The sequence below is a fragment of the Homo sapiens genome, chromosome 12 (genome assembly GCF_000001405.40).
Source record: "Homo sapiens chromosome 12, GRCh38.p14 Primary Assembly".
Lineage (NCBI taxonomy): Eukaryota > Metazoa > Chordata > Mammalia > Primates > Hominidae > Homo > Homo sapiens.
Window position 1 is genome coordinate 11,820,840 of NC_000012.12, and position 14,494 is coordinate 11,835,333.

Here is a 14,494-nt window from a genome sequence, read left to right on the forward strand (position 1 = left end):
AGTGATGTGATTTGAATCAATCTCTGGCAGGTCTGTTGAGGATAGATGCAGGGAAGGAACAGTGGAAGCTGGCAGACCAGTCAGGGACCAGTAACAATGATCCAGGCAAGAGAGGATGGTGGCTGGGACTAATGTAGTAGCAGCAGAGGTGGCGGAAGTGGGCAGAGCTGGATACATTTGGAAGGCAGAGCCAATAACACTTACCAATGGACCAGAAGGGGGTGTAAAAGAAGAAACAAGGGGCTGGGCACGGTGGCTCACGCCTGTAATCCCAGCACTTTGGGAGGCTGAGGTGGGCGGATCACAAAGTCAGGAGATCCAGACCATCCTGGCTAACACGGCAAAACCCCATCTCTACTAAAAATACAAAAAAAAAATTAGCTGGGTGTGGTGGTGGGCACCTGTAGTCCCAGCTTCTCGGGAGGCTGAGGTGGGAAAATGGTGTGAACCCGGGAGGTGGAGCTTACAGTGAGCCGAGATGGCGCCACTGCACTCCAGCCTGGGCAACAGAGTGAGACTCAGTCTCAAAAAAATAAAGAAAGAAAGAAGAAACAAGGGCGACTGGAAGGTGTGGGGCCTTGGCCACAGAAAGAATGGAGTTTGCCTTCTCTGTGATGGGAAAGATTGGGAACAGCAGATTTAGATGAGTGACATCTGGAGGTTGGTTGGCCTCATTAAGCCTAACGTGCCTATTAAGCATCAAAATGGAGATGTTGACCGGGCACAGTGGCTCATGCCTGTAATCCCAGCACTTTGGGAGTCTGAGGCAGGAGGATTGCTTGAGGCTAGAGTTTGAGACCAGCCTGGGCAACATAGCAAGACCCCATCTCTTAAAAAAAAAATGTGTTTTAGATTAGCCGGGTATGGTGGCTCACTTGTAGTCCTAACCACTTGGAAGGCTGAGGCAAGGGGATCACTTGAAGCCAGGAGTTCGAGGCTGCAGTGAACCATGATCCCACCACCATACAACAACTCTGTTGTCTGGGCAACAGAGGGAGATTCTGTCTCTTAAAAACAAACATGGAGATGCATTGTCACCTCCCACCCTCACCCCCATTTGAACACACACTCACATATATCTCACGTCCTAATCCTACTGAACTACTCAACATTTCCCCAAACCGGTTGTGCTCTTTTCATGTGTGCAGGCCTTGCATCCGCTGTTCCTCTGACTGGAAAGCTGTTGGCCCATCCAGTTGAGAAAGTCTTCCCTGGCCGTGCACGAATGCACTAACTTGTAAATGTCTCTTTACATTCCTTTCTTCCCTTCCAGACCGCAAAATCCAGTCTCATTCACCTTGACATGCCCTGCGCCTGATCCGGGACGCGAGGCATAGTGGGCATCTCCTAGGTTAGACGGATGGGTGAGTGGGTGAGTGAACGGAGAGGTGGACAAAATGAGTGCTCAGCAGTTAGACCCAACTGTGTTTTGATGGTAGTGATGGGAATTCCCCTGGCACATGGCCAGGTGAGATGATCATTCAGCCTGAAATGAAAGAAACAGCAGATGTCAGGAAGTTTTTGTTAATCCTGCCTTGTGCGTTAGAACTCTCCCGCATACGTCCCCTTTCCCGCACACTCTCTCTACCTTTCTCCCCCATTTCTAGCTCCTGGTCTTATTCATCTGTAGCATCAGTAAACATATACCCTTTACTGTTCACATCCAGGTCTGTAGGGGAAATTTTGGTTATAAAACCGGAAGAGTGTTTAACCTAATGTCCTGCTGCGGGCTTGCTTTCCACGGGCCTCCGGGTCTGTTAAAATGATCAGGCCTCATTATTTAGGAAGCTGCCTCAGCCAGGCATTACTAATTTGGGCATTACTAATTCAGATGCCTATTCAGGCAAATGAGCAATGAATGTAAAGTGCTTTTGTCAGTGAATTGCAAGTGAAGAGAAGAGGGAGTGGGGGAAGTAAAGGGAAAGTGATAGAATGTTTGAGCTTTGCTTCATTTCCAGAAAGGACAGCCATTGCTTCCTGGAAGCTGGGCTTGGCAACAGGCATGGAGGAATGGGAAAGATTTATTTCCCTTTGCCAAAGCTCAATAATTCAGCTTGAGTATTTCAAATCAATACATTTCTTGCAAAGTTTCCAAGGGCTGCATTAAAACAGCCATTTTTAAAAATTATCAGTACATGACAGCATCCTCCGACGAGACTGGCATGTCAGGGATGAGTCGAGTCTTCCAAATAGACAAGACTCCAGTGAGAAAGGAGGCTGCCACAAGCAGGAAAAGCGAAGTTAGAGCTGACAGCAAGACCAACCGCACCTGTAGGGCCTCTGGCGTTCACACACCTCATTGGTTTTGTGGGGGCTCTTTCTGAGATGAGCAGCTGGATCGCTCCTCCTAAGGGCTTGCATGGGGGAATCTGTGACTATAACTCCGTATTTCTTTGAAGATGCAATTCATCACTGAACTTGGGAAAGACTAACTTGGGGAGGTCTCCACCACGATCTAGGATTGCTAAGATGTCTGACAGGCTGAGTCACTCATACTTTTGTGAACTATTAAAAATTTCATAGTTCTGACATCTGGACATCTTGACTTTCGGTGATAGGAGATATGGAAAGACAGTAAAAGGCTGTGTCTTTACTGTTGTTTTAATCCCCACTAGAGAGTCCTTTTTTTCTTTTTTTTTTTTTTTGAGTTGGAGTCTGGCACCGTCTCCCAGGCTGGAGTGCGGTGGTACGATCTCTGCTCACTGCAACCTCTGCCTCCCAGGTGGAAATGATTCTCTTGCCTCAGCCTTCCAAGTAACTGGGATGACAGGCTCCCATCACTAGGCCAGGCTAATTTTTTGTATTTTCAGTAGAGACGGGGTTTCACTATGTTGGCCAGGCTGGTCTCAGACCCCTGACCTTGTGATCCGCCTGCCTCGGCCTCCCAAAATGCGGGATTACAGGTGTGAGCCACCGCACCCGGCCAGTAATTCCTTCTATTTCGATGTTTCATCTTCACTAGAATCGTTCCTTAGTTCTTTCGGTGGGAGAAGCCATTCAGCCCCCCTTGACTGCCAGTGCCCTTTGAGGCTCTCAGCCATTTGATTCTTCCTGTGTATCCCCTGTGGTTGTTGTCTCTGTTTCTAGAGTGCAGTGGTTCCTGCACTTTGGGCTGTAACCCCCTTTGGTGGGGCCAGAGACCCCTTAGATTAATTATCACATTTCTTTCACTTACTGCCACAAAACCCAGCAGCGATTCACTAGGAGAACCCGAAGATTGGTGCTCTTCTTTATGAGACACCAAAGGGGCTCTGTGTTTCCCAGCATGAAGTCTTCAGTGACAGAGTCTGGGAGGACAGCACAGGCAGCAGCAGTGTAACTCTCAGAATCCCCACGGAAGAGCAGAGCAGCTCAATAGCAAAACCAAAACCCAGCGACGAGACATCCCCAAGTCCCACCTTAATGGGACTTTTGGTAGCCTTTGGAACAGGGAAAACCCAAAAATAGCCAAGAGGTATTCACCAGAAAGCCTGAAAGTGGGAGTGGTTTTGCTCGTTCCTATAGTAGTGAGGGCAAGTGGCGTCGAGGAGGTCTGAAAGGTGTAGAGTTCTCTGGGCCCTGTGAACTCTGCCACTAACCAGCCACGCTGATGGCCAGCTTTCAGGATAGCTGTGGAGAAGCTGCTGGGAGTAGAGGCACATTGAAAAGGTTAGGGATGGCCAGGCATGGTGGCTCACGCCTATAATCCCAGTACTTTGGGAGGCCGAGGCAGGTGGATCACCTGAGGTCAGGAGTTCGAGACCAGCCTGGCCAACATGGTGAAACCCCGTCTCTACTAAAAAGACAAAAATTAGCCGGGCGTGGTGATGCATGCCTGTAATCCCAGCTATTCAGGAGACTGAGGCAGGATTGAACCCTGGAGGCGGAAGTTGCTGTGAGCCTAGATCGCGCTAATGCACTCCAGCCTGAGCGACAGAGCAAGACTCCATCTCAAAAAGAAAAAGAAAAAGAAAAGGATGGGGCAGCAGAGACTTAGATGCAAGGTCTCCCAAAGGAAACAGAACCAGGAGATTTCAGAAAGCCAGCTGCCATTTATTTGAATGCTACATGAAAACAATAGAAGAGAGGGTTTGCTAAGGCTGGAACCATGCCATTTCATAAAAATTTCGGAACATTGTCTTCAGATGAAAATGAGCAACAGAAAAGTAGTGAGGTCAAATCCCACACAAAGTTTTTATAAGATAAAGGAACAGAAGGAGCAGAATAGCATCCCTCAAGAAAGCGTGCCAAAACAACATGCCTTTAGAACAATTCAAAACCCTACTTACCTCCAAATGAGCTAAAAGGTAAGAAGAAAAAGATACGAAGCGTGGGGCAAACACAACATCAATCAGAATTAGAAAAACTTCCAAATGAAATGACAGACTCTGGAAAGAATTAAAAGTAAAAGAAAAATCATTTCAGAAATGAAGAGTTAACTAGTGAGAATACAAGATGAATCTTTACAAAAGGTGATTTTTTAAAAGAGAAACACAAGGGGGAAGCAGGAAATTTTTTAAAGAAGAAACAAGAAAGGTTTTAAAAACAACTCAAGAAAAAGTGACAAATATTGAAGAACGGCAAAGAAATTTCACCACGTGGATAATAGGAGTCTCTGGGGAAAAAACCACAAAGCAAGCTTTCGCCTGCATCGCTCCTGTCTCTGCCCCTGTCTTCACATGGCCATCTCCTCTCCTCTGCGTCTCTCCTCTGTTTCCATATAAGGACACCTGTCATTGAATTTGGGGCCCACCTGCATAATCTTGAGATCCTTAACTTAATGACGTCTGCAAAGAGCCATTCTCAAATTAGGTCTTATTCACAGGTTCTGGGGATTAGGACACGGACATTTCTATTTGGCAGCCAACATTCAGCCATCTCCAGTCACTGAGCTAGTAAGTGACAAAAACAGGATTTGAATTTCGTTGTTTCATTTTATTATAACGTGGTTAAGAGAGATTTTAAATATTTCCATTAAGTTAGCAATTCTTGCCAACAACAGTAGAAAGCATGCCTTTTTTTTTTTTTTTTTTTTTAAAGTCAGAGCCTCATTCTGTCACCCAGGCTGGAGTGCAGTGGTATAATCATAGCTCACTGCAGCCACTCCTAGGCTGAAGCAATTCTCCCACCTCAACCTTCTGAGTAGCTGGGACTTCAGGCATGCACTACCACACCTGGCTAATTTATTTTGTTTTTCAAGGAGATGGGGCTCTTGCTATGTTGCCCAGGCTGGTCTCGAACTCCTGGCCTCAAGCAGTCCTCTCACATTGGCTTCCCAAAGTGCTGAGATTACAAGTGTGAGCCACAGGACCTGGCCAACAGCATGCTTTTACAAATAGTAGGGTAGCAGGAGGCCAGCCTGCAGACCGCCCAGAGACCTCACCCCATCTTACGCTCTGCCCAACCTCAGGGGAGCATTTTTGCACTTGGTGGATTAGCATTACTTGCTCCATCCATGATGAGCCACTCATGCTCTTCACAGATTTTCCAGACTCCCATGTCAAAGTTAAAAAACAGACATCGGCCTCTTTCCAGAACTCAGAATATTCACATCTATATTGTTAACACTCATACCTTTTCCAGCACAGAATGAAAAGCACCTTTGAAGAATCGTAAGCCATGAATGATGACGGGCCGAAGGGAGTGAGGGCTCCTACCTCTTGTCACTCCTACCATCCTGCCTCCAGGACCCCTGCCACCTACTTGGGAGTCTGCCCTTAAAACTCAAGGGTCACCTGACTCATTCCTCCCCACTCATTCATCTGACTACCCACCAAAGCTAAGTGTGAACAGCCTGTATTGATTTATCATTTTCCTTTTGCCTGCTTCCTCTGGTACAGAGATCTTCATGCTTTCATCCAAACGAATGAATAATGTAAAATCCCAGGTGGGGTGACAGAGCCAAGGAGAAAAGTGTTCTGCAGCAAGGGAGGGCCTCCCAGTATGAGCCTTGGAGTCTCAGATAAGCCCAGGGACAAAGCATGAGACATCCAGTTACATATCTGTGGCCCTGGAAGGGGAGACGGGGTTCGCTTTGTGGTGGTGTTTAGCTTTCCTGACTCCAAGTGACCATCTTAAGCCAGGGGATTAGTAACCTTTACAACTCTAATACTAGGGAATATATTAATAACTGGTGAGAAAAAAGATTACAGCTTTTTTATTGATAGGTCTATAAAAGCCATTTCCGTATGAATGTCCTCAGAAAGGAGGAATAAGGGGATGAGATAGAATAGAATAGAGAGAAGTCTGTCTCACACACACACACACACACACACACACACACACACACACACAAATGCAACACAATTATCTTTAAATAGAAGTTGCTTCTCCAAGTTTGTTTTTTTTTGTTTGTTTGTTTCATGAGGCGTCAGCAACGCTGTTAAAATGATTTCATCCTGCCTGTGTGTCACAGCAGTCTGCCCCGCGAAATGCTGAATCAGCAGCAGCCCAGACAGCCTTTCGGTGGAGGGTAGATTCGACACCCAAAGGCAACCAACCGGGCCTTTGAAAGCACTTGGAAGCACTCTCCAAAGAGCCAGGGAAGAGGACAAGGAAGAAGGGGGTGCAGTGGAATTCTCCTTAAAAAACAGCATGTTCTAGAAAAGCCATGCTTTGGAGGTGCTGTAGGTCAGATTTGCCTTTGGGTCCCTATGTGTATTTTCTGAGGTCTGTTCATGTAAAAGTTCAACACCTCTTTCGCACTCCCTTCTCCCAGCCCCCGCGCCCTGCCCCCACACCTCCTGTCCACCTCCACCTCCTCCTCCTGGAATTCAGTGATTATCAGGACTGTCTCCATCCTGAGAAGAGGCTTTTTAAAATTTCGCAGGAGAATAGAGACACCCGAGAGGGCTGGGAACAGGCACAGCTGAGCCACACAAAGCCAAGCCTCCTCCATGCAAGTGACGGACAGATCAGGTCCCAGTTCAGAATGAGAATGAGTTTTACTCTGGTTACACTTTGCACAGGAATGTTCTGCAGACTGTGCCGGGCACCAGAGATGGTCCGTGTGCGGTTTAAAAGAGCAGGAGGGGAAAGAATTTTCATCCCTCTTTATTCAGGCACCCTCAGGAGAGTATCCATGTTCTGTGAATCATGCAAATCCTGCAGGATCTTTATGTTCTCTGTACCCCATCCATTTCTGCTGAGGATTACAAACATTCTTGCACCAACTTTCCTCCAGCAGTTTCGATTTCTCAATAAATCTGTTTGAGGAACATTTCAACTCTTAATATCTATTTTCCTACTTTTTTTTTCTTCTTAAACTCAGGCTTCTTTGTAAGCATACATATCAGTAAGTTTGATAATAAAAATGACCTTTCTGCCCTGCAGTATAGGAAATGCTGCCTTAATGCCTCTTTGCTTTAGAAACTCATCCTTGTATAGTATCTCTCCTTGCATAGCCAAGTTGCCTCATTGTACGTAAATTAAGGTTATTTGCAGTGATTGACCCTAACTACTATGAAGAAAAACTTTCAATATGTTAGCAATGATGTCTATAATAACTGAAGAAGGGACATTCCCTATTTAAGGTCAGGACTGTGCGTTTCAAATAAAGAAATGACAGCTCAAACATTTCATTGTACCCCCACTTCTAAGTGAGAAGAGGGCACCCTTCGTGTCTCTCTTTTCTGTTTTTCTCCCTGAAATATCAGGAGAGACATATATCTCTCTTAAACCTGATTTGGTTTTCGCATTACCTCACAGGTACATATTGTCAGAACTATTTGCATACACGAGACTAAAAAAAATACTAAACGGATTCTCCAGGGATCCATGGATAAACTTGAGGTAGTCTATAAGCTTTGAAATCACAAGCAAATATTTGTGTCCATGTGCCTGTGCATTTTGAAGGGGGGTTTGTTTATGAACTCTGGCTGAATTCTCAAAGAATCCTGTACCTTCTTCCTAACGCTGAGAAGTACTTGCTCTAATCTCTTCCCCACTCCCTTTTTGCTGTCCCCTCCCCATTATCTTTTTTCTTTTTGATATGGACTTTAATTAAAATGTTGATGCTTACGTCACCATACATTTTCTGCATTAATTTTGATTTTTAAAATATTGCGTTACATGACTTAATCTTGATTACTGAAACTTTTTAAAGGTACCCCTTAAATTTTGCTCCTGGGGCAAATGTCTTACTTGCCTCAGCCTAGCCTGGGGCCTGAGCGGGCACCTCCTTCAGCCTTCTTTCCTCCAACCTCTCCCTGATCCAGGCTGTTTTCCGCAACCCCACCTGAGCCATTTTCCCAGCCTGCAAGATGACAATTCAGTCCCCTCCTCAAAGCACTGTACTGGGCCTCATAGCTCCTGCCAGAGCCGTCATGCACCTTCCAAGAATGCTTGCTCCAGCTTCTGCAGCTCCAGGGAGCTGCTGAAAGTATTTTGGTCTTCTGGAGACACGGGACAAAGTACAACTCATCTACTATCCAGTCCTTGTCCTACCCAACCCCCCAAAATGCATTGAGCACTTGCTCTGTACCAGGCACTGTGCAACATCTCTATAGGGATCACCTCATTTCATGCTCACATTTGCCCTAAGAGGTAAGTACTATTCTGGACTCCATCTTACCGCTGGAGAAACAGATTCAGACGCGTAACTAACCCAGCGCTAGTAAGTGGTGCAGCCGGTGTTTTAACCCAGGACAATTTGACTGCGAAACCCAAGGTCTGATCTAAAATGCTACATGGCTCTCACCACATTGGGCTTGCTACCCAGAAGCAAAAATGAGAAGAACTCTTCTAAGTCACGTTTGTGAGGCTGAGCGGCAAGCTCTGGGTCAGTTTTGCTGTCAACAGGTTTTCTGCTAAAAACCCGTTTGTAGCTAAAACTAGATAAAAGTCAGAAAAATCCACAAAATGAAGTTTATAAGAAAAAACATCATTCGAGGGAATTGACTGTGACTTTGGATCTGAACATGAACATAGAGTGTTCTTGTTCTTGGACTTTGGGCTGAAAGACATGAGTATAACCTTCCGACCTCCACTTGGAAACTTAGTGCTGAGATACAGGCTAACCTTGAGGACAGAAATAGGAAATGTTTTGGAACTTCCAATTCCCTAGTGACAGGATTTGTTTGCAGAAAGCAGCTTTGGTCAGATAGCACATTCAAGATTACAGGCAGACCCAGAGGAGTGAGATGTGGAGCTTGTCAGAATGCATCCAAGGCTGGCCTGGGGGTTTTGAGCAGATTTGCAGAGAGCAGGCCGGTGGGGAAGGGAAAGGAGGCAGAAAAGTCTCCGGAAAAGTGCCTCTGGGAAGCAGCTTGAAGGGCTCTGAGGACACTTGGTTTTCTTTTGAAGGGCAGAGTACACAGGGAAGAACTCTAAGTAAACCCTGCCCTCGGCAAGCAGAGGTCAGAAGGTGCTCTGTGGGCACCGAGCAGTATTCGGGATCTGCAGCTAGACCAGGCCTGCCATGAGAAGTTGAGTTTATGGTTTATTATTCCTCATTCCCTTAACATTTTTACAGTGCATTTTAGAGTGCAAGGGGCTTTTACATCCATTATTTCCTTTAACCCAGGGGAAGTTCACTGGGTAATACAGAAAGCCTGGAGCTGGAGTTTTGGTCTTAGGTTCATTGTGACCTTGGGAAAGTCCCTCGATTTCTGAACTTCAGTTTCTTCTGAAAATACAGTTGTGCCAGCTTTAGCTCCCTCGCAGAATAGATGATGGCATGACATGGATGCGGAAGCATCTGGTAATGTTTTGAACTGCACAGAGCTGAGTGTCCTGACCATCAAAGCCAGAGCTGGAGTAAGTGATCAGATGTGTCGGGGAGGAGAGGGGTGCCAATCACAGACTGCAGAGCTGGCTCAGATGTGGACTGCCTAGGAATGGAAATCTTTGGCTGTACAGTCTGGCATTAAACCTGGGGACTGTTATGTGCCAGGCACCGTGTGCAAATCACTGCAAAATCCCCTTCAGCTACATGCATGGACATGTTAACTCTTAACACATGTACCTAACAATTCACAATTTCATCTCCCAGAAGGTGGAAGATGCATTGAGGAGCATTGCTAATTTGCACTCAAATCTGACAAATGAGGAATTGTCTGGAAAAGTAGAAATGATAGCAGAGGGTGAGAATAAAAACATGATTTTAGGATTGGGGAAGGGAAATGAGAGACAAGAACAGATGTGTTTTCTTGACTTAAGACAAATTTTTAAAATGTAGGGAAAAGTATTTATGATCTCATGATCTGAATGCTGAGACACAACTCAGAGTCATTTGGGCTGCTCTTGAAAATGAAATCCTGACTTATCAACTGCATATGACCCTTATTGGAATAAGAAGGAAGGGAGACAACTAAAGAAACTGATGAGGCGATATTGGGGATATTCTCTGATTAGCTCAATTTTTAAATAGTTTGTGTGTGTGTGTGTCTGTGTCTGTGTGTGTCTGTGTGTGTGTTTGTTTGTTTTGAAATAGAGTCTCACTCTGTTGCCCAGGCTGGAGTGCAGTGGTGCAATCTCGGCTCACTGCAAACTCCACCTCTTGGGTTCAAGCAATTCTCTTGCCTCAGCTTCCCAAGTAGCTGGGATTACAGGCGCCTGCCACCATGCCCAGCTAATTTTTGTATTTCAGTAGAGACAGTGTTTCACCGTGTTGGCCAGGCTGGTCTCAAACTCCTGACCTCAAGCAATCCACCGGCCTTGGCCTCCCAAAGTGCTGGGATTACAGGTGTGAGCCACCACACCCAGCCCTTAAATAGTTTTTTAAATATAAAAGTAAAACATGCTTAATAGAGAATGAGAAATAAGAAAGAAAAAAGGAAAAGGAGACAGGGAATATCACCTACAATTTTACTGAGTGTCAATTCTTTGAATATTTTTACGTTTCATTGTATTTTTCTATGCATTGAGATTATTACATATGTACACATACTATTTTTCAATATGAATACATACTCTTCATCATGTTACTGGCTGCATTAATTTTCTATCATAGATATTGTCAGTAACTATTACTTATTTCCTTATTGCTGTTCCTAGTTTTTCATTATTAAAAATAACACTGCAATAGACATCTTTGTGCATGAAAGATTCTTCCACATACTAAGTTATTTCTTTAAGGTAGATTCTGAGAAGTTAACATTTACAGGGTTCTTAAAATATCACTAAGTTGTTTGCCAGAGAGATGATGCCAATTTATCTTCTCACTGTTTTGTGAGTACCAGTCTAATGAGCTCCGATTTTTAAAAAGATGTATATAATGGATGAAAAAGCAACTTAATGAAAAGAAACATATAAAGGAGAGTTTCTGAGCTCTAGAATTTTAAAACGTAAGTGAGCTGAAAACCATGGAATACGCTTAAGAAAACAATAAATGTGGGCAGCAGGATAAGAATAAGCATGATGTCAGCCTGCTGATGGGGTTGGATGGGGTAACATCAGCAAATGGCAAAGAAACCAAAACTGTTCAACTTCTTTCTCTCTCCCATGAAGGAGAATGATTGTCAGACTGAAACAGGTAGTGCAAACATTGACAGAAGGGAATTGAAGCCTGAGATGGGTGAATTGATTGTAAAAGCAAACTAAGTTCTGAATAAATGCAAGGCTCTTGGCCCGGACAAATGACATCCCAGGGTCGAGAACTCAGAGGGGTGAAAGATAAGCCACTGGCAGTGATCCTTCAGGGTTGTGGGAAATGGAAGCTGTACTAAAAGAATAGGAACTGTTGGTAACCTGATTTTAGGAAGAGAAGCTGGGGAAAATGTGGGTACGAAATAAAACAGCTAACCTGATGGAACTTCCAGATAAAATTCAGGACAGATTTTCAAACATACATGTTACGAGTGGAAGACATTATCACTTTGGAGCCAGCCATCTGCTCCTCATCCTCTCTCCTCATCTTCTTTAATAAGGTTGCTCTAAGTGTTGTAGTTGCTGTATTTCAGGATATCAGGAAGGCGTTTCGTTGAATTTCTGATGTTGCTTTCATGGATGAGCTTGGAAAATGTCCAAAAACCAGAGTATTTAGATGGATTGATCATTGAACAACTCTTCCCAAAAGGAGTCAATAACTTGATCAGTATCCGTCCAAAAGGAGGTGACTGGTGTGTCACCAGGGTACTCCCATCTCAGCCCTATACGATCTGCACTTTGTCAGTAACCTGTGGAGGTGACAGATGCTTAGCAAAGCCACAGATGACGTGAAATTACAGAGTATAGATGCTAGAAATCGATGGAAATCTGGAGAAGACTGCAGCAGGCTGGGATGATGGTTAAAAATAATAAGATAAAATGTAATATCAATTAATATACATTCTTACAGTTGGGTTCCAAGTGCTAGCTATATATGTTCAGGTAGGGTGAGATTATAAAGGTGATTATAACAATAACAGTACAAAAGCAATAGCTAATGTTTTTTAAGTGATTGCTCTATGCCAGATATTGGCCTGTGTGTTTCATATCATCATCATGTGTATAATTTTACTCTACACTAGTTTTATGTCATCTGAAAATTGTATAAGTACATTATCTATGATTCAATGATATTTAATTCACAGGATGAAAGTTGTCCTCATTTTTCAGTTGACACCAGCAAGACACAGAGAGGTTAAGTAACTTGTACAAGGTCACACAGCTGGGAAATAGAGGTTCCATGCTTGTGCTCAGTGCCTGCATGCTGAACTACCGTGAAACTTTTTCTTTTTAAAATTTAGTCATAAATTTAATTTGATATCCTGCCAAAACACCAAATAAGCTTAGAGAGTTAGGTAGTTTTTAACGTGGGCTCGGAGCCAGGTCACCTGGATTCAAATGTCAGCTCTTCCATTTCCTGGCTGAGTGACTTTGGGCAAGTCGTTTAACTTCCCTGTGTTCTAGTTTTCTCCTCCATAAATGGGGATCATTCCTGTCTTACAGGATTGCTGCAGGGATTAAATGAGTTACATATGCAAAGCATTTAGAATGACTCCTGGCACATAGCAATCACTTGCTTACAAGTAAGTGCATTGCTGTTATTAGGCTACACAAAAAGCACTATGGTGGGGTGTTAAGAGTTGACACTGTAGAGCTAGACCACCTGGATCTCTGTCATGGCACCACCACTTCCATCTCTGTGTGCTACAGTTTTCTCATCTGTAAAAAAAGAATAATAATCATTGCAGTGATAAGATTCAGTGTAAATGTTCAGTAATTGCTAGCTGTTACTATCAATAGAAGTATATTGTCCAGAGAAAGAAAAATGCTAGTCCTGTTCCTACTGCTGCGTTTAGGAATTGAAGCCACATAGATCTCTGGAGGAGGCAGGCAGGTTGGTAAGGGTCTACAAACTGCAGTGGAGGAGTTATCTTTGGACCAATTAAGGACGTTTCATCTGGAGGCAAAATGACTAAGCAAGGACGTGATAACTGTCCTCACTGTGTTGAGGGTTACAAAATTGGTGTGGGTCATTGAATCAAGTTATGAGACAACATGGGATGTTGGGAAAAGTCAGGGGATCAGGGGCAGGTTGATCCTGAGTCAGTCTCTTAACTTCCAGGCTTCAGCTTCCATCTTTCACATTTTATGATTCTGTCTCCAGCACGTAGAACCTAGAGCAAATTCCTGTTTATACAGAAAGTTTGGATAAGGAGTGGTTTTGCTGAATGGCTACTGTAGCAGAAAAGCTTGAACTGAGTGTTGCTCAAATCAATAAAATCACCTGATGACTAAGCCCTGTTTTCTATTAAACTGAAAAGAGAATGCAACAGACTTCACTGGGCTTTTGTGAGAATTACATGAGGTAATATGTATGAAAGCACCTTATCAACTCTGAAGTACTACCCCGATGCAAGCAGTTATGTTGATTATTGCCATAGCTAGATTATAACTTTTCCAAGAATTAGAATATAATGAAACACACTTAAGCATTAATCTGTCTTCTGTGATTCAGAAGATCCTTCAGGAAGTTACAAAATCTCAGGGTCATGGCCATGGGCATGGAGTAATTCTGTAGAAAAAGATCCTGGCTGTAAGGTATTCTTTGGTTTTTTGGATTCAAATTAAATAGGAGCATATTGACTACATGAAACCCTGAAGGGAATAGAGATCACATACTCTAAGCCCGTCATTGTACAGATGAAGTCACTGAGCCACAGAGAAGCTGAGTGGCCTGCCCAGAATCAAATGTTAATTCATGGCAGATCTGGGAATAAAATCCAGGCTCCTGTCTCCCAACATGTTTGTCATCATTAGTTTAAGAACATCTCAGAAAGTCTGAAACAGGGTCAAAATGTACTGATGAATGTGGCTGCCCATTAAAGCATGGAATTGAAGAAATATTAGAAGTAAGTTTAAGGGCCTGGGTGTGTCACTGAAGGATATGACACAATATACTGGACCTACTCGGGAGAGGGGAGAAGTACAGTAGAATTTTTAGTAACTTTCTTAATCACAGCAGTTCACTTTCTCTGTACAAAATTCTTTTCAAATATTCTCTGAAACTAATTGGCATTAAAAATGCTGATCTTAGTAAATGGCCCTCAAGAGGCACGCTATGCGCACAGGGAATAGTATAATATAGGTG

At 43.8% G+C, this 14,494-nt stretch overlaps 1 protein-coding gene across 12 annotated transcripts in view, besides 4 other annotated features; it reads left to right on the top strand.

Moving 5' to 3' along the window:
* ETV6 (ETS variant transcription factor 6) overlaps positions 1-14,494 on the top strand; it is a 245,704-nt gene that overhangs the window by 171,166 nt on the left and 60,044 nt on the right. Inside the window, exons 2-5 of one of the 12 annotated variants that reach the window (XM_017018991.2) lie at positions 4,805-4,874; positions 5,563-6,609; positions 7,687-7,770; positions 8,196-8,390. The exons of 9 other annotated variants lie outside the window; for them this stretch is intronic. The gene's annotated coding sequence lies outside the window, so the exon portion shown is untranslated. The remainder of the gene's footprint in view (positions 1-4,804; positions 4,875-5,562; positions 6,610-7,686; positions 7,771-8,195; positions 8,391-14,494) is intronic. 2 more of the 12 variants (XM_047428503.1, XM_047428504.1) reach the window with 2 other exon arrangements.
* Positions 1,910-1,959: an enhancer, noted in NCBI's record as "active region_5994". NCBI's record gives its function as "activates an Ori minimal core promoter by ATAC-STARR-seq in GM12878 lymphoblastoid cells {active_cell/tissue: GM12878}" and the evidence as "EXISTENCE:reporter gene assay evidence [ECO:0000049][PMID:35858748]".
* Positions 2,384-2,523: an enhancer, noted in NCBI's record as "active region_5995". NCBI's record gives its function as "activates an Ori minimal core promoter by ATAC-STARR-seq in GM12878 lymphoblastoid cells {active_cell/tissue: GM12878}" and the evidence as "EXISTENCE:reporter gene assay evidence [ECO:0000049][PMID:35858748]".
* Positions 9,444-9,643: an enhancer, noted in NCBI's record as "active region_5996". NCBI's record gives its function as "activates an Ori minimal core promoter by ATAC-STARR-seq in GM12878 lymphoblastoid cells {active_cell/tissue: GM12878}" and the evidence as "EXISTENCE:reporter gene assay evidence [ECO:0000049][PMID:35858748]".
* Positions 11,471-11,540: a silencer, noted in NCBI's record as "silent region_4247". NCBI's record gives its function as "represses an Ori minimal core promoter by ATAC-STARR-seq in GM12878 lymphoblastoid cells {active_cell/tissue: GM12878}" and the evidence as "EXISTENCE:reporter gene assay evidence [ECO:0000049][PMID:35858748]".